At 42.4% G+C, this 18,856-nt stretch overlaps 2 long non-coding RNA genes across 2 annotated transcripts in view, besides 2 other annotated features; one reads left to right on the plus strand and one right to left on the minus strand.

Annotated features, from left to right (window-relative positions):
* The window catches only part of CASC21 (cancer susceptibility 21), a 147,995-nt gene that overhangs the window by 52,656 nt on the left and 76,483 nt on the right, over positions 1 to 18,856 (plus strand). The gene's annotated exons all lie outside the window — the stretch shown is intronic.
* CASC8 (cancer susceptibility 8) overlaps positions 1 to 18,856 on the minus strand; it is a 192,464-nt gene that overhangs the window by 7,617 nt on the left and 165,991 nt on the right. The window lies entirely within an intron of this gene.
* Positions 5,623 to 5,782: an enhancer, noted in NCBI's record as "active region_27939". NCBI's record gives its function as "activates an Ori minimal core promoter by ATAC-STARR-seq in GM12878 lymphoblastoid cells {active_cell/tissue: GM12878}" and the evidence as "EXISTENCE:reporter gene assay evidence [ECO:0000049][PMID:35858748]".
* Positions 10,388 to 10,437: an enhancer, noted in NCBI's record as "active region_27940". NCBI's record gives its function as "activates an Ori minimal core promoter by ATAC-STARR-seq in GM12878 lymphoblastoid cells {active_cell/tissue: GM12878}" and the evidence as "EXISTENCE:reporter gene assay evidence [ECO:0000049][PMID:35858748]".

Consider the following 18,856-nt stretch of genomic DNA (forward strand, 5'->3'; position numbering starts at 1 on the left):
TTACCCGATTGACCAACTCTCTAAGTCTCAGTTTCTCCATCCATAAAATAGAAGTAATAATGCCTGCATGTAGAGTTGTAAAAATATATAATGAGAAAAATATTGTGAGGTACCCAGCATAGTAGCCACCACACAGTAGACAATAACCTATTTTACTTATCTACCTTCCAATCCTTAAGCTAACTATCTCTTAGTCCCAAGAATAAAATCTCAGGATTGGGAAAAGGCTTCTTCATTTCTGTTTAGGGGCCCCAGATCATTGAGATTCTTCTTTCCTATTAACTACCAGGTTATGGATTTGAAAGAATCTCAGTTAGAAATATAATAGCATCATTCTAGACAGAAGAATGGAAAACTAGTGTTCTAAACTGGATCAAAGGGTGTCTTGTGAAATAATGCAGTCATTGTTCTCTATAGTTTTGCTCCAATAGGTCAAGGATATACTAGTATATCAGGGGTAGCTATGGATCCTGGGATTTCCCCTTTACCACAAAGGAGATGATGTAGGTGTGAAATTCCAGGCACCTTGCCCATCTTTTGTAATCCATTCTTCTTTTTTTCTCTCTACCGGTTGCTTCAGATTGTAACTCTACAGCCCACCTGGCTTAGAGTGCTGACGCCTTCTCAAGGCTTCCTCACTAAACTTCCTAGAAGCTATTTTCCAAGGAGGGTAGAATCATTGTTCTGGAAAACTAACTAAACTACGTTCAATGCTTATCAATATCAGAGAATTCATTTTGGGTGACTCACTCAAGATATTAACTTTCACATTTTAAATTATATGCTTTTACTCATTAAATATACACAAAGCTTTCTCTCTCTCTCCTCTTTGTCCCAGAAGTGTTTGCGAAATGCTTTCTTTTTCCTGTAAGTTTAAATACTTCTACAGTTATGTCTTTTACAAAAGAGAGATGTTAGTAGCAAAAGGTGCAACATTTGCTAAACAGTTCAGGTGACATCTACGAACACCATCACCCTGAGTTTTCACAAACAGCCTGAAAGAAGATGTCACGTTCACTTTTCTGAAGCCAAAACAGAGGCTCAGAGAATCAGCTTACCAAAGGTCTCTCACAGCTGGCAGATCTAAGAGTCTAAACCGTTTCTGTTGGGCTCAAGGCCCATGTTCCATTTGGTTATACTCTCCTCCCACAAAACTCCCTTAGGCTTTGGAAACTGAAAAAAATGTAAGCGGAGTGATTGATTGCCTGAGGTTCCTCTTGTTAGAACTGATCAATTGAGCCACATCTACAGCAATATTAGAGAGGGAGGAAACCCATGAGTCCTCAAATCTTTTTTAAGAGACTCATTGATCGTCTTGAATGCTTAGATGGTCCATATGGACATTCGGTGCTTTTTTTGTTTGGCGTAAGTGAAGCAGCATCATTGTCTGGGGTAAATACCCAGGGTTCATCATCTTGTGCCAAGAAGATTAAGGACACAGACCACAGAGGAGTGAGTTTAGGAGCAGAGGTTTAATAGGCAAAAGAAAGAGAAAGGAGGAGACCAGCTCTCTCCCTTGTGAGACAGAGGAGCTCCCAAAAGGGAAAAAAAAAACACCCCTTGGTGGACTGCACCAGAATTTATAGGCAGGCTTAAGGAGGTATGTCTGATTTACGTAAGGCTCACAGATTGGTTCGACCAGGCGTGATGTTTACATAGTGCAGAGGGAAAGGCTGGTTGCCCCACCCTAATCTTATTATTATGTCTTTGCCTAGCAGGGGCCATATTGTCTGCTCCTTACTGTACACATGGTTTGGCAAAGAGAAGGGAAGATGGAGCCACTATTTTGAACATGCCTAGTCCCAGGTAGCCTTTTCCTATCGGCACAACTGGTGGCATTCACCCGTGCAAGCTTCCAGCTTGCTTATCGATGTCTGCAGCTTAATTATACAGGCTGCTCTTTGTTAGAAAAGAAAATGATTTGGGGGCTGCTTTTCATTAAAAGGAAAACTTTACCAAGGACTCCTGTAGCCTCACTATCTGCCTAAGTAATTTCTTCTTAACTCCTATATCATGAGGATTGACATTCGTCAGAGGTAAGGTGTTATGCTGCAAGTTCGTATTATTTGGCAAATTGATGGGAAGACGTTACAGTAAATAGTCTCCAAACAAGATGCCATGAATTGATTATTTTCCTCTATGCACATGATACTCTGCCCACCAAAATTTATAGTCTGCTTCTTACTCTCTTAAACCCGGAGTGGACTTTTGACTTGGCTTGGTGAGTAACATATAGCAGAAGTGATGCTATGCCAGTTCCAGGTTTATCGTTTAAGAAGTCTGGCAGCTTCTGCTTTCATTCATAAAGCCAGCCACCATCTAAGAAATCTGATTAACCTGAGACAACCATGCTGTGAAAAGAAACAAACCAGCCACATGGAAGAGAATGAGGCACTGTCCATGTGAACGAAGTCTTCTCAGATCTTCCAACCCAGCCCAGACATCAGCTGGATACAGCCAAAGGAGTGACTCAGTTGATACTACTAGTCAGAGAAGAGCTGCGTGCTGAGCCAAAGCGACCTACAGATTCAGGAGAAGTATTGTTATTTTTTGTTTAATCCATGAAGTTTTAGGGTGTGTTGTTACACAGCAATGGATAATTGATGGATGTTTAGGTCAAGAATAGACAAAAATAAAAAATAAAAATGTGTTTTAATGTCCCATACATAATCGACCAATTGCCAGGAGTTTGCAACTCTGGGTGTACATCAGAATCACCTGGAAAGTTTTTTAAACTACAGATGCTCAAAGCTTAATGGAGACCTTTAAAATGCAAAATTTTGAGGCCTGCACATTTGCATGTTTTTAAATTCCCTCAATATATATAAAATGAGCAGTTATTGTAATAACCCACAAAATTAAAGACTCATTTACTTTAAGAAGCTCCTTTTTCAAAATGCAAATTCTTTCTGGGAGTGATAAATCAAGCAGATGGTCACAGGATTACATCTGTAATCAGATTGTTTTCTTAACGCTTGGCTAGGATTAGCAAATGTAGAGTACAGGAGAGCTAAATACAAAGCATGCACACACCTGACCAGGGAGCTATTGATTGAGGTCCCAAAGAGATGTCATTATAACAGCTTACTGTGAGCTTGGGCCTAACAGGTGCCTGGAAATTGGAAGACAGGTGCAAAAGGGACAGTGGAAGATTGACAAAGGCTGATTACAACTATTCTGATGGGAAGTCACTGAAAATCACCCCAGGAGTGGCCCTTAGAGCTTGTTATTTAGGAACCTAAGAAATTATTATGGAGGTTACTGAAAGGGACCACAGTAAAGATCAAGTCAGATAACAATACCTGTGCTCATACCAGACCTCTCAGAAGGCCAGGATATGAAGTTGTTCTGATTCCTCTACCCTAATCAAATAAATAGAATGTGTCTAAAGATAAGTCCAACAAGAGTCAGAGTTCAGTGTTGAAAATGGAGTGTTGAAGAAAGAAGGCCTTTGTTGTGAGCCGGAGAGTTCCTGTATCTTTGTCTTTTCCTTCATATTTCCCCCAAGCTGCCCAGACCACCTTTCTCACAAAGCCTCACAGGGTGGTTACCTCTCCCTGAGGAGTGGTGAGTCAGCTCCCTCTGAGAACTTTTCACTTTTACTATTTCTCTCTTACTGATCCTGTTCTAAGATACACCTGGGGGTTTTATGTTCCCTGAAGAAAGGAAGTGAAACGTACTGCATTTCCTATACTACTTAAGCTTCCTTTCTCGATGTGAAAAGAACAAACCTATAGTTCCTGAAATCTCTTTACTTCCTGTGTTGCTAAGTCAGTAAGAAGAGAATTAGCATGTACTGAGCACCCACCGTATGCTAATTGCGTTACCTACATCCTCATATAAATTATCATGCTCTATGAGTTATACTTCTTGAGATAAGTTCTGTGATACCATTTGATAGAATAGGACACTGAGGCTAAGATTTTGAGGTTACTAGCCTAAAATCATATAATTAAGAAACGTTGGGAACAGGATTTGAGCCCAGATTTGGTTGACCTATGTCCTATAATTCTAGCCAACAAAGTATCTCTGCCAAGAATTAAAAAAAAAAAAATCATTATTTCAGGGTCTGGAGTGGGACATTTTCAGCAGATCATTTTGTTATCATACGAACGCAGCCTAACCACCTGCTACTCCAAGTGAGAGTCAAAATCCAGCAGCATTGGTCTCACCTGAAAGTAAGTACTATTGACGCATGCTACTCAAGTGAGCTCTGCTGACAGGCCACATTGACATCATCTGGGAGCCTGTGTGAAATGCGGCATCTCAAGACCCACTCCAGGCCTACTGAATTAGAATCTGCATTTTCACAAAGTCCCCATGTACCTTAGCAGGCACATTAAAGCTTGAGAAGCACTGACCTAAATTAATGTGTTCTAATTATTTGAGCCTGATACCTCACTGAATATTTTTTTCTAGACACAGTGCTACCTACATACTTGAATTCCTAGAGAACTCACATTTCACAATGTTGGTGGCGGGTGGGGGGGGGCCTTGAAACCCAAAGAGGCAAAATAGTGGGTTGTAGACATCCCAGTAAATTAGTGGCAGAGTCAGACCTAAGATAAGTCCTTACCAGATGCTCAATACCTGTCATTTAGACATTATGTATTAAGTTCTTGGTCTATGCCAGGAACCTTGCTAGATGCTGAGGTGAAAGAAATAATTTGTGCCCTCAAAGAACCCCTGATCCACTGAGGGAGACAGATACACACACAAACAATTATAAAACAATATGGCAATGGGGAGACAGGGTGGCACAAGGTGACATGAAGCTTCCAATAAGAGACATTTGGAGTCACCAGGCTTCGTGGAAGAGGTGCAGCCTTCGCCAGACCAGGTGCCACCCACTTTGTGATTAATTGATGTACCAGCTCCCCCTCTATCCTTCATTCCCCTTTCTCATTTTCCCTTGTCTTCACTCCATTCTCTTTACCATCTCCCCTTGGCCTGGGTCCCTTCTACTTCTCAGATTCCCATCTTTTCCTTCAAGGCTTTTCCTGCCTGCTCACCCTAATCCACAAGTTCTGCTTTCTCGTAACATCTGTAACTTTTTTGTTTACTAGCAGTTTCCAAATCCTACTGCCCACCAACATCACCTTAGGAGCCTTAAAAACTAAAAAGCCCCATAACAGGCCCTACCCTCAACTCTGCAGATGATTCCAGGGCATCATTTTTCCCCAGAGCTGCATGTGCAGCAAGGGTTGAGATGAAAACCTTGTTGACCCCACTCGCCTGCCATCTACCCATAGCAGCTTGCATTACAGAGAGAGGCAGAGTTTACAAAGGCCTCTGCACGCATCATCCCATTTGATTCCCACATCAGACCGGTAAAATAAGAAGTGAGAGGTGCTTAGTCCATTTTACAGATGGGAAAACTAAGTCATAGAGAAGTGAAGTCACAAGCCCAAGTTGCCCAGATCTTGGACCCACATCTTCTGACTTGCCCTGTGCTGCTTGGAGAATATATGTATGGTTAGAATGAAGGCAAAGCCCTGCCTTGCTCTCTCAATGCCCCCATTTCCCCAGCCTAACACATTTAAGCTACTCAGCTCAGAGCTAACTGATGGTTGATGACAACTGCTCATTGAAGGAGGCATGTGTCATTTCCCCAGGTCTTGAAGGCCTCCACCTGAGAAAGAGGAACTAGGAGTTGGGTGTAAATCAGAAACCATATGACCAGACACACTTGAGCACACTCTGTGAGAAAAGGGAAGGATGCGGACAGCCAGAGGTATTGGAACTTTCCTCAAAATCAATCAGGAGTCATGTTCTGATCAGAAGGGCACATAAGAGGATCATGAGGACAGAAATGTTCTAGGGTTTCGTTCCTTCCCACCCAGCCGCCATCTGCTATCCTGTCTGAGCAGTGCTTCTGTGAATGGGGCCCTTCTTACCTATCCTTGCCTAAAAAGTAAACATGGAAATATTATGAAGCTCCTCTCTCTCCTGATCCTGAAAGCAGCCCAGGAAGTTGGGCTGATGAGAGGAGCCCTTAGCAGACATAAACTTGGGCAGGAAGGGATTGGGAGTGAGGACTAGGAAGAAAACTTCTTTTATCTTTTTTTGTAATCTCTTCGCTAGGTTTTCTCCATGTTCTGCTTCAGAAATAGACTGGATATGTCCTATGTATGTTTTATTCCTCTCATCTCAGGAATAATTTCCAGTTCTTAGAAAAGAGCAAGGCAGGGAACGGGCAGGGGCGGGCTGAACGCCTCCCTGCTGCGAGGAAGGAGGCACAGATAGGGCGCACAGGAGAGCTGACATTACACAATCCACATATCAGCATTTCTGGGGCAGCCAGGAGGTTATTCCTAAGGGGAACATGTTCTAAACCAGCAGAAAATAAATGCTGCTTCAAAAATAAGCATTTCAGGCTGTGACTTTCCTGGGTCAGAGAAGCCTTGTTATTTTTCAGAGTAAATCTGCCCCAGTGTACACGGCTGCTGCACTAAAAGGGCTTATTTCAGAAGGCACTGGGTCCTTATTTTCATAAATAAATAAATCCTCACAGGCCTTTGGAATCTGATTATATTTGGGACAAAACTCCTAAATATAGGGCCATTGTCTGAAACCATGTGACCAACCCCAGTCTTTTAACTTAATTGTATCTATTAGAGAATGGCATGCTTCCAGGGCCAGGATTAGGCTGTAAGCTGGTTCTCAACAAATATCATGGGTTCTTTTTTGTTGTTTGCAGGGGAAGTGGGGACAAATGACTTACTCTTGATTAGAAAAACTAATACTTTCATTTCCACCAAGAAAAAATAAAACCCTCTTCATGGGTGTTTGTCATTTTTCTTGGATAGGACAAAATCCTATTCTCAGAGAAAAGCCTAATGCACACATCCATCCTCTGTGTCGCTAACTGGTGGAGACGATGGTTTCTATCTTGGTGTCTTTTGTTAACTGACCCATTCCCAACTTTATTATTATTACTATTATTAATTATTAATATTATTATTATTTTGAGACAGAGTCTTGCTCTGTTGCCCAGGGTGGAGTGCGGTGGTGCAATCTCGGCTGACTGCAACCTCCACCTCATGGGTTCAAGCAATTCTCCTGCCTCAGCCTCCTGAGTAGCTGGGACTACAGGCACCTGCCACCACCACGCCTGGCTAATTTTTGTATGTTTAATATAAATGGAGTTTTGCCATGTTGGCCAGGCTGCTCTTGAACTCCTGACCTCAGGTGATCTGCCTGCCTCGGCCTCCCAAAGTGCTGGGATTACAGGCGCGAGCTACCGCACCCAGCTCCAACTTGATTAATTTAATTTAGAGTGACGTTAACTCTATTCATTCACTAGAAAACTGTCTACTGGTGTGGACCAAGTCTGAGGAAACACTTGGTCTATAGAACAGATGGCTGGCTTGCCTTGATGAAGCTGTCTGTTTAATGGGTAGGAAGACATTAATAAATAATCACACCATAAGCCATCTAATTTTATTGGAATAAATTCCTTGAAAAAGGGCTGTGAAGACACAGGCCTTGACCTTGGAGTATAGGCAGGGGCTTCAGGAATGGCTTTTCTGAGGCAGTAACATTTCAAATGAGACTTTCAGGAATAAGAGTGGGCTAGGGAAGAGAAGCCGGAAGGGCAGGTGTTCTTGGCAGTGGGGATGGCCAGTGAGTGTCCCGAAAGAAGGCTAGCTTCTGCCACCATGCCCTGCCTGCAAACTAGACAGGTAGCAATGGTAAATGCATGGCAGGTGATTGGGACACAGAAGAGGGATACCAGCATCAAAAAGGTTTCCTGGAGGAGACACATTTGAGCCAGGTGAAAGGAGGCAGGATGAGGTACATTTCTGAAAGAGGAGATTTGGCAAGGTCACAGAGGCAACAGGGATTTGGGGAGTGAGACGAAGCAAAGTCCGACTCTTATTGCAGGGGTAGGAAGCTAGGGAACTGTGGGCAGAGATTTGAAACTGCCACATGGAGATGTGGAGAGAGTGGGAGCACTGGAGGGCCAATGGGGTGTTGGTGGAACAAGGTCAAATTGAAATGTTTGGATGACAGCTTCGAGTGAAGCAAAATTAGAAATAGGGCCACCTCATAAAACTGAAGAATCACACTTCAGACTTGTTCCGGGTTAAATTTTGTTTACAAAAGCAGGGGGCAGCAGACTGGATTTGGCCCATGGGCTGTGGTTTTCCTACTTCTGCTCCAGATGGGAGACTGGAGGTTCAGGGAAAAGCATATACTAACCATGGTGGGAATCTCTTTTGGAGAGGAATGCATTAAGTGAAACCATCTTGCTGGCATCTCTTTCTGTGCTGGTTGGTTTCTTGTGGTTCAGAAATACAGTGAGTAAGTCAGTCAACAAGACTGTACAAGAGTTTTCTAAGTTCCAGGTCTGTGCTAGGACCCAGAGATCGGTGAGAACAAAATGGAAGGGACATCTTTGTGCCCATTCAGTGAGCCGGTGCATGTTGATTGTCCACTATGGGGCAGGCTCTCTGCCAACACCTTGAGATTCTAGACTAGTACTGAACAAGTCTAGTGGCACGTCTATCCCTCCATCAGTCCATCCATCCACCCAGCTACTCAACAAGCATGTCACGAACTTCTGCCAGCATAAGACATGTTGGCAGGACTCTGTGGGATTTATTGGTAACCCAGCCATGACTCTTGCTTCCAACTTGCCTACCTTCTAGAGAGATAGATAAGCCAAGAGCATTAAATATCCAAGGTCTGAGGTGGACAGGGAAATGTACTACCAGCAAAGTACAGATGGGGGTGGGGTGGGTGCTCAGAGCAGAATTAGAAGACTTTCAGCTGGAAGAGATCAGGAAGGCTGACAAGATGACATCTAGTTTCCTGTTAACCCTTTAAAGTGACATATGAGTCTCTGCAAGGATTACAAGCAGATTTGAAAAGACAATGCTCTTCTGTACATGCTGTTAGCCCTTGGGTCCCATCAGGGCAAGTATTACAAATGCCTTGTGATTTCACCGTCCTGGAGATGGCTCCTTTCTCCTACCAGCAAAAGGATCTTACCCAGCACAGTTTGCCTATTTGCTAGGAATTTTCATGTGTCAGCTCTTGAGTTGGGCACTGAAAGGAGTTATTAATAGAAAATAATAATTCTTGCAATAACTGTGCTGTGTGTTGTTCCATCTATTTTAAATATGGGGAAGCTGAGGCTAAGAGGATTAAGTAGCTTGCCTGGTATTACAGAAGAGAAGGAAGCAAGCATGGAACCCATATCTCTTGACTCTCAGATGATTCTCTCTTTAACAAACTCTCTGGTTGCCAGTCTTCAGATTAGTAGCCTATAATTTGCTTTGACTTCTTCCTCCATTCAGGTCAGCTCCCTGCTTGACATTTCTTTCTCCACTCCATTTCTCAGAGACAGCTCTTTCTGCTTTATTCCCACAACCACTGCACCAGCTCCATGCTCATCATTATTGGGTCAACAAACATTTATTTTCTGCCCACAGGGGATCATAGTCTATTATCCAGGATTTTCCTGGGTAATAAATTGGCCTTCTCACTTTTTACTTTCCCCTTTCAAATCTGCCAATCAGATACCAGTAATAAGCCATCTCCTTAGCATAATGTAAGACACATTCACTGATTATCTAACTTGTGGCAGGCATTGTCCTGGGTCCTGAGGAAGAAAAATTACAAATTTACAAATCTCATAGTTTACAAAGCATTTTACTGAAGCCAGATAGACCTCAGGATAAATAGCAAACTTCATCTGAGTTGGCCATAGGGAGTCTGGGCAAAAGAAACACTCTTGATACAGAAAGAAAGAAAAGATGGGTTTTCTGAAAGAAAGAAGAAGCTTGTGCAGTATTTGGCAGCCCCAGCCAACAGCACAAGAGGGAAGGGAGAAAGAGCACCTCATTCCCAATTGTAGGGCAAGAACAGATTCAATACAGCTACATAAGGAGCCAAGACTGAATTAGATGTGTAGGGAGGATGTCCTGTTACCTGAGCCCAAAGTTTAACACCCTTTGATCACTTTCCGTCTAGAGAGATCGCTCAGCAAAGGTCATTGGTTATGATAATTAAAGTGTTTTTCTAAATAGAAGCAATTTCAAGAAGGCAGGTTGACCTTTGGGAGAATTTCTAGCAGCAATCACTTCATGATTGATTGGAAATATCTGCAAATACACGTGTCCTGAGAGGTGAATGAGAAATGTGTGCAGTTACTGTTTTCCCAATGAGTCTATTTGTCCTTGTGGAACAGTTTAGGGGAGAGTAGCATTGAGGAAACAAAAATGGCCCAGGGATCTTGGAAGCTCTATGTGTGAGTATATTCCTCAGTTTTCAGATTTAGGGGATTGGGGAGGGATGTGGAAAGCATAGACAGAAGGCACTGCAGAAGAGGAGAGTAAATGACTTTAGGTCATTGAACTGGTTTTTGATAGAAATCAAGTTAAGAAAAATAGAAGTCAATAGTACTAAGTTTGAACTTTATCTTTCTAAAAACTGCTTCTGTGGGCAGAGTTCATATGCTGGAGGAATGAATCATAATGACACCCTTTGGTATGACCCTGGGGAGAATAAATGTGACTTAGTTGAGGTTTCTGAGGATGACATTCAGAAAGAAAACAAGAGAGGGAAATACCCTTTCTCTCTGTCACACTCTCAGGTTAGAAACTCACTTTAGGGGCCACAGCCTATGACAAATACACTCATGCAAATTCTGTGCTTGCTTCCATGCTCCATTTCTTTGCCAACTATGTAGCTAAGCAAAATGGAACAAGAAATAGTGTCTTGGGAGAAATAAAATTGCTGGATTAGATACAGGCCACCTTTATATAAGAAAAAACGTTAAATTATGCTACTGGTGAAATAAGTCCATTTGGGTTATTGTGGAATTTTATGTGAGACTGAGATAGCTGATTAAGATGGTGATGCTTGAGTATTATCATTTTAGTAATAAATATTTCCAGAATCAAAGTGAATAATATGTAGGGAAGAGGGAGGCAAACTGCGGCCATGGGCCAGCAGCCTGGTTTTTTGTTTTGTTTTGTTTTATGGCTCTTGAGCTAAGAATAATTTTTAAATTTTGAAGTGGTTACATTTTATTTTATTTTATTTTTTTAGGCTAGTCTAGTGAATACATTTTAAATGCTTATACAAGCACTGAGTGATAGCCTCAATTTTGCCTGTTGGCTCACAAAGTCTACAATATTAATTAACTGTATCTTCTAAAAAACAGTTTGTCAGCCCCTGGGACAATAAATAGTAGATATAGCCTGGGCATGGTGGCTCACACCTGTAATCCCAGCACTTTGGGAGGCCGAGGCAGGTAGATCACCTGAGGTCAGGAGTTTGAGATTAGCCTGGCTAACATGATGAAACCCTGTTTCTACTAAAAATACAAAAAATTAGCTGGGCGTGGTGGCACGTGCCCGTAGCACCTGTAATCCCAGCAACTTGGGAGGCTGAGGCAGGGGAATCACTTGAACCTGGGAGGCAGACGTTGCAGTGAACTGAGATTGCACCGTTGCACTCCAGCTTGGGCAACAAGAGTGAAATTCTGTCTCAAAAAATAATAATAGAAAAAAAGAATGTATAGTCTCCTGGGTCAAAGAGATCTGAATTTGGATTTTGCCTAGATACATCATTAATTCATTTCAAAATACTTATCAAGTAGGTATTCTTTCTTCACTTGGCTTCCAAGATGCCACCCTCTCCTAAATTTCCTCCTTCCTCACTCACCAATTCTTATCAATCTTCTTTGCCAGTTGCTCCCAGTCTTCCTAATCTCTCAGCACCAAGACCACAGCTCAGGTCTTGGCCCCACTCCTCTTTTCCGCCTGTACTCACCTGGTGCTTGTGCCGAGAGTTCATTCTTCCCATTGTATTTACTAACACCAATGTGCTGATGACTTCCAAATTTATACTTTTAGCCCGGATCTCTCCCTTAAACTCTACAGTCGTAATGCAACTGTCTTCTTTAATATCTCCATTTGATGATGAACATATATCTCAAACTTAACATGCACAAAATGGAGCTTCTGATCTTCATCCCCAAACCTGATTTTTCTAGAGTCTTCCTTGTATTGGTAAATGATAACTTCATTCTCCCTGTTATGTCAGTTTCTTCATTGGAAATGGGCATAGAACCTGTCTCAGGGCTGATATAAAGAATAAATGAGATAATATAGTGTTACCGCTACTCATAAGACCTACGACAGTCAGCATTCAATAAAAGTGAGGAGAGGACAGCATAACCTTTCCATTCTTTCATCTAATGGCTCTGTTCTTTCCTTCTCTTTCAGACCCTTACTATCTTATCCTAGAACCATTACAAAAATTTAGTAACTGGTAGCCTTGATTTAGTAGTAAAGTGGTAATTATAGAAAATATTATTCTCCCCATTTAAAGATGAGGAAAATGAAACAGCCAAGATGCCCTAGTCCCACCTCCTAGCAAGCACCAAAGTTGGAATTTAAACATCAGCCAACTGAAAAGCCAGTGTTCTCCAGGCTCATCCTCTGCAACACAGCCTTCACCAGCTTACTGTCAGGTGAAGCGCACACCCTACAAGGCTAAATATGACAACAAAACAGGGTAACTGGACTATGGGAGACAAGAGTAGAGGTTCCTCAACTGAGCTAACATATCAGAATTCTCTGAAAGTTTTATGCAGATTCCTGAGCTTTGCACTAGAACTACTGAATCAGGTCGGGCCCAAGAATGTATAAATTTTTAGAGCTCCAAAGGCATTTTTGAGCAGTCAGATTTAGGCGCTCCTGCTCTAGGTTTTAAAAGGAAGATTTCCTAATATTTAGAGCCAATAAATATAATACAATCATCTACAACTCTCAAAGAGAGACGAAAAACCAGATTTTCCAATATATAAATGGGCAAAGGGCATAAAAGGAGGATTTACAAAAGAGGAAGCAAAATGGTTAATAGAAATATTTCAAGTTATGAGACCTACTTATATTCAAATAATACAAACTTCTAAATGTTAATAAAATGCCATTTTTAGCTACCAAATTAGCCAAGTTTTTTTTAATGCGAATACAGTATTCCTGTGAGTATGTGATGAGATGGGCACTTTCATAAACTACTGAGAAGGCAAATATTGGAGGTACCACTTTGAAAAGCAATTTGGTAGCATGTACCAAAGTCTTGGAAATGTCAGTAGTCTTTAATTCAGAAACTCCCTTATATAAATACATGCAATAAAATAATCCAAAAGCAATGAAAAAAATATGTACTGCACCTAAAAGACATTTATAACAATCATTTACAAAAGCAAAATAAATAAAAATAAGTGAAATGTTAAAACAAGAGAAAATGTGAATTATTCAGCATCATTGATTATTAAGCAGTTATCAGATCTTTCAGAATACACTATATTATTTCATTTTACACAAATAAATAAATATATATGCCGGGGGAAAAGTTTGAATGTCCTTACACCAAACTGTTAACAACAGGGTCTGTAAGTGGAGCATAATATTGTTCTACCCATATAAATTTGTTCAGACAAATTATGCTAAATCCACTACTCAAAATATGATGTTTCTTCTTTTTAGAAGGTTCTACCCTGCTTTCTATGCTGGTAAAATATTTTTGTTTTGAGAACTAATGCAAGTGTCATCTCCCCTATAAAATCTAAGTGTTTTTTACCCAAGCAGTGATCCGTTTATCCCCTTTATTTGTTAGCATAGATTACCTTTATTTTAGCACTTACTTGCTATTCAAAAATTATCTGTTGCTGTATTTGTTCCTCCCAGCAGACTATGAGCTGCCTGAAGGCAAGATCTGGGGGGTCTTACGTGGCCAGAAGCGTTTATTAAATTAAATTCCTTGAATGATAGAAAGAAAGCTCAATGGAAACCTTCCATTTAGTGTCTGTGACTCCATCACAAAGAATGCTGTGCAAATTGCTAAGAGGATAGATAACTGTTTTTACCACCAGAAAAAAAAAGAGAGAACAGAAAATGGTAAATAGTTATCTCATGTTGATGAAATGGTGGATATATTAATCACCTTGATTATAGTGTTTATTTCAAAATGTATATGTGTATCAAGACATCAAGCTATGCACCTTAAATATATACAATATTTGTTTATCAATTATACCTCAATAAATAGGAAAAAAAAATGTGAAAGACTTTTGGCTTCTACTTAGGATATAGAAAGCAGGAAAGAGTAGCACTCCTAGAAGTACTAGAAAATAATGCTAAAGAATCTGCAGATTCACAGCTCTTTATTTTTATTTATTTATTTATTTATTTAAACTAATCAGAGAACTGAGGTCGCAAGACAACAAACTGGTCCTAAATAAAAAGTAAGAAAAATGCCGGGGAGGAGCCAAGATGGCCAAATAGGAACAGCTCCGGTCTACAGCTCCCAGCGTGAGCGACGCGGAAAATGGGTGATTTCTGCATTTCCATCGGAGGTACCGGGTTCATCTCACTAGGGAGTGCCAGACAGTGGGCACAGGTCAGTGGGTGTGCGCACCGTGCGCAAGCCAAAGCAAGGTGAGGCATTGCCTCACTTGGGAAGTGCAAGGGGTCAGGGAGTTCCCTTTCCGAGTCAAAGAAAGGGGTGATGGACGCACCTGGAAAATCGGGTCACTCCCACCTGAATATTGCGCTTCTCGGACCAGCTTAAAAAACGGCGCACCACGAGATTATATCCCGCACCTGGCTCGGAGGGTCCTACGCCCACGGAGTCTTGCTGATTGCTAGCACAGCAGTCTGAGATCAAACTGCAAGGCAGCAGCGAGGCTGGGGGAGGGGCGCCCGCCATTGCCCAGGCTTGCTTAGGTAAACAAAGCAGCCAGCCGGGAAGCTCGAACTGGGTGGAGCCCACCACAGCTCAAGGAGGCCTGCCTGCCTCTGTAGGCTCCACCTCTGGGGGCAGGGCACAGACAAACAAAAAGACAGCAGTAACCTCTGCAGACTTAAATGTCCCTGTCTGACAGCTTTGAAGAGAGCAGTGGTTCTCCCAGCACGCAGCTGGAGATCTGAGAACGGGCAGACTGCCTCCTCAAGTGGGTCCCTGACCCCTGAACCCCGAGCAGCCTAACTGGGAGGCACCCCCCAGCAGGGGCACACTGACACCTCACACTGCAGGGTATTCCAACAGACCTGCAGCTGAGGGTCCTGTCTGTTAGAAGGAAAACTAACAAACAGAAAGGACATCCACACCGAAAACCCATCTGTACATCACCATCATCAAAGACCAAAAGTAGATAAAACCACAAAGATGGGGAAAAAACAGAACAGAAAAATGGGAAACTCTAAAACGCAGAGCACCCCTCCTCCTCCAAAGGAACGCAGTTCCTCACCAGCAACGGAACAAAGCTGGATGGAGAATGACTTTGACGAGCTGAGAGAAGAAGGCTTCAGACAATCAAATTACTCTGAGCTATGGGAGGACATTCAAACCAAAGGCAAAGAAGTTGAAAACTTTGAAAAAAATTTAGAAGAATGTATAACTAGAATAACCAATACACAGAAGTGCTTAAAGGAGCTGATGGAGCTGAAAACCAAGGCTTGAGAACTACGTGAAGAATGCAGAAGCCTCAGGAGCCGATGTGATCAACTTGAAGAAAGGGTATCAGCAATGGAAGATGAAATGAATGAAATGAAGCAAGAAGGGAACTTTAGAGAAAAAAGAATAAAAAGAAATGAGCAAAGCCTCCAAGAAATATGGGACTATGTGAAAAGACCAAATCTACATCTGATTGGTGTACCTGAAAGTGATGGGGAGAATGGAACCCAGTTGGAAAACACTCTGCAGGATATTATCCAGGAGAACTTCCCCAATCTAGCAAGGCAGGCCAACGTTCAGATTCAGGAAATACAGAGAACACCACAAGGATACTACTCGAGAAGAGCAACTCCAAGACACATAATTGTCAGATTCACCAAAGTTGAAATGAAGGAAAAAATGTTAAGGGCAGCCAGAGAGAAAGGTCAGGTTACCCTCAAAGGGAAGCCCATCAGACTAACAGCAGATCTCTCGGCAGAAACCCTACAAGCCAGAAGAGAGTGGGGGCCAATATTCAACATTCTTAAAGAAAAGAATTTTCAACCCAGAATTTCATATCCAGCCAAACTAAGCTTCATAAGTGAAGGAGAAATAAAATCCTTTACAGACAGGCAAATGCTGAGAGATTTTGTCACCACCAGGCCTGGTCTAAAAGAGCTCCTGAAGGAAGCGCTAAACATGGAAAGGAACAACCGGTACCAGCCACTGCAAAATCATGCCAAAATGTAAAGACCATCAAGACTAGGAAGAAACTGCATCAACTAACGAGCAAAATCACCAGCTAACATCATAATGACAGGATCAAATTCACACATAACAATATTAACTTTAAATGTAAATGGACTAAATGCTCCAATTAAAAGACACAGACTGGCAAATTGGATAAAGAGTCAAGACCCATCAGTGTGCTGTATTCAGGAAACCCATCTCACGTGCAGAGACACACATAGGCTCAAAATAAAAGGATGGGGGAAGATCTACCAAGCAAATGGAAAACAAAAAAAGGCAGGGGTTGCAATCCTAGTCTCTGATAAAACAGACTTTAAACCAACAAAGATCAAAAGAGACAAAGAAAGCCATTACATAATGGTAAAGGGATCAATTCAACAAGAAGAGCTAACTATCCTAAATATATATGCACCCAATACAGGAGCACCCAGATTCATAAAGCAAGTCCTGAGTGACCTACAAAGAGACTTAGACTCCCACACATTAATAATGGGAGACTTTAACACCCCACTGTCAACATTAGACAGATCAATGAGACAGAAAGTCAACAAGGATACCCAGGAATTGAACTCAGCTCTGCACCAAGCGGACCTAATAGACATCTACAGAACTCTCCACCCCAAATCAACAGAATATACATTTTTTTCAGCACCACACCACACCTGTTCCAAAATGGACCACATACTTGGAAGTAAAGCTCTCCTCAGCAAATGTAAAAGAACAGAAATTATAACAAACTGTCTCTCAGACCACAGTGCAATCAAACTAGAACTCAGAATTAAGAATCTCACTCAAAACCGCTCAGCTACATGGAAACTGAACAACCTGCTCCTGAATGACTACTGGATACATAACGAAATGAAGGCAGAAATAAAGATGTTCTTTGAAACCAACAAGAACGAAGACACAACATACCACAATCTCTGGGATGCATTCAAAGCAGTGTGTAGAGGGAAATTTATAGCACTAAATGCCCACAAGAGAAAGCAGGAAAGATCCAAAATTGACACCCTAACATCACAATTAAAAGAACTAGAAAAGCAAGAGCAAACACATTCAAAAGCTAGCAGAAGGCAAGAAATAACTAAAATCCGAGTAGAACTGAAGGAAATAGAGACACAAAAAACCCTTCAAAAAATTAATGAATCCAGGAGCTGGTTTTTTGAAAGGATCAACAAAATTGATAGACCACTAGCAAAATTAATAAAGAAAAAAAGAGAGAAGAATCAAATAGACGCAATAAAAAGTGATAAAGGGGATATCACCACTGATCCCACAGAAATACAAACTACCATCAGAGAATACTACAAACACCTCTACACAAATAAACTAGAAAATCTAGAAGAAATGGATAAATTCCTTGACACATACACTCTCCCAAGACTAAACCAGGAAGAAGTTGAATCTCTGAATAGACCAATAACAGGAGCTGAAATTGTGGCAATAATCAATAGTTTACCCACCAAAAAGAGTCCAGGACCAGATGGATTCACAGCCGAATTCTACCAGAGGTACAAGGAGGAACTGGTACCATTCCTTCTGAAACTATTCCAATCAATAGAAAAAGAGGGAATCCTCCCTAACTCATTTTATGAGGCCAGCATCTTTCTGATACCAAAGCTGGGCAGAGACACAACCAAAAAAGAGAATTTTAGACCAATATCCTTGATGAACATTGATGCAAAAATCCTCAATAAAATACTGGCCAAACGAATCCAGCAGCACATCAAAATGCTTATCCACCATGATCAAGTGGGCTTCATCCCTGGGATGCAAGGCTGGTTCAATATATGCAAATCAATAAATGTAATCCAGCATATAAACAGAGCCAAAGACAAAAACCACATGATTATCTCAATAGATGCAGAATAGGCCTTTGACAAAATTCAACAACCCTTCATGCTAAAAACTCTTAATAAATTAGGTATTGGGTCTCTTAAAAAAAAAATTAGCTTGGTGTGGTGGGTATGTGTCTGTGGCCCCAGCTATTTGGGAGGCCGGGGCGGGAGGATGACTTGAATTCAGGAGTTTAAGGTTATAGTGAGCCATGATCGTGCCACTGGACTCCAGCCTGGGTGACAAAGTGAGGCCCTAGCTTTAAAAAAAAAAAAAAAAAAAAAAAAAAAAAAAAAAAAAATTGCCGGCCATGGTGGCCGCGGGTGGTGGTTGGCGCCGCTGCGCTGCGGCCCGGGGCAGTGCGGAGCCGGGACAGTCGCGGCGCTGACGCCCGCGGGCCCCAGCTGCAGATATGAAGCGGAGCCGCTGCCGCGACCGACCGCAGCCGCCGCCGCCCGACCGCCGGGAGGATGGAGTTCAGCGGGCAGCGGAGCTGTCTCAGTCTTTGCCGCCGCGCCGGCGAGCGCCGCCCGGGAGGCAGCGGCTGGGAGGAGCGGAAGGGCCCCGCGGGGCCCGAGGGCAGGGAGCAGCCGCCTGCCTTGGCCTCCCAAAGTGCCGAGATTGCAGCCTCTGCCCGGCCGCCACCCCGTCTGGGAAGTGAGGAGTGTCTCTGCCTGGCCGCCCATCGTCTGGGATGTGAGGAGCCCCTCTGCCTGGCTGCCCAGTCTGGAAAGTGAGGAGCGTCTCCGCCCGGCCGCCATCCCATCTAGGAAGTGAGGAGCGCCTCTTCCCGGCCGCCATCACATCTAGG

The sequence above is a fragment of the Homo sapiens genome, chromosome 8 (genome assembly GCF_000001405.40).
Source record: "Homo sapiens chromosome 8, GRCh38.p14 Primary Assembly".
Taxonomy (NCBI): Eukaryota; Metazoa; Chordata; class Mammalia; order Primates; family Hominidae; genus Homo; species Homo sapiens.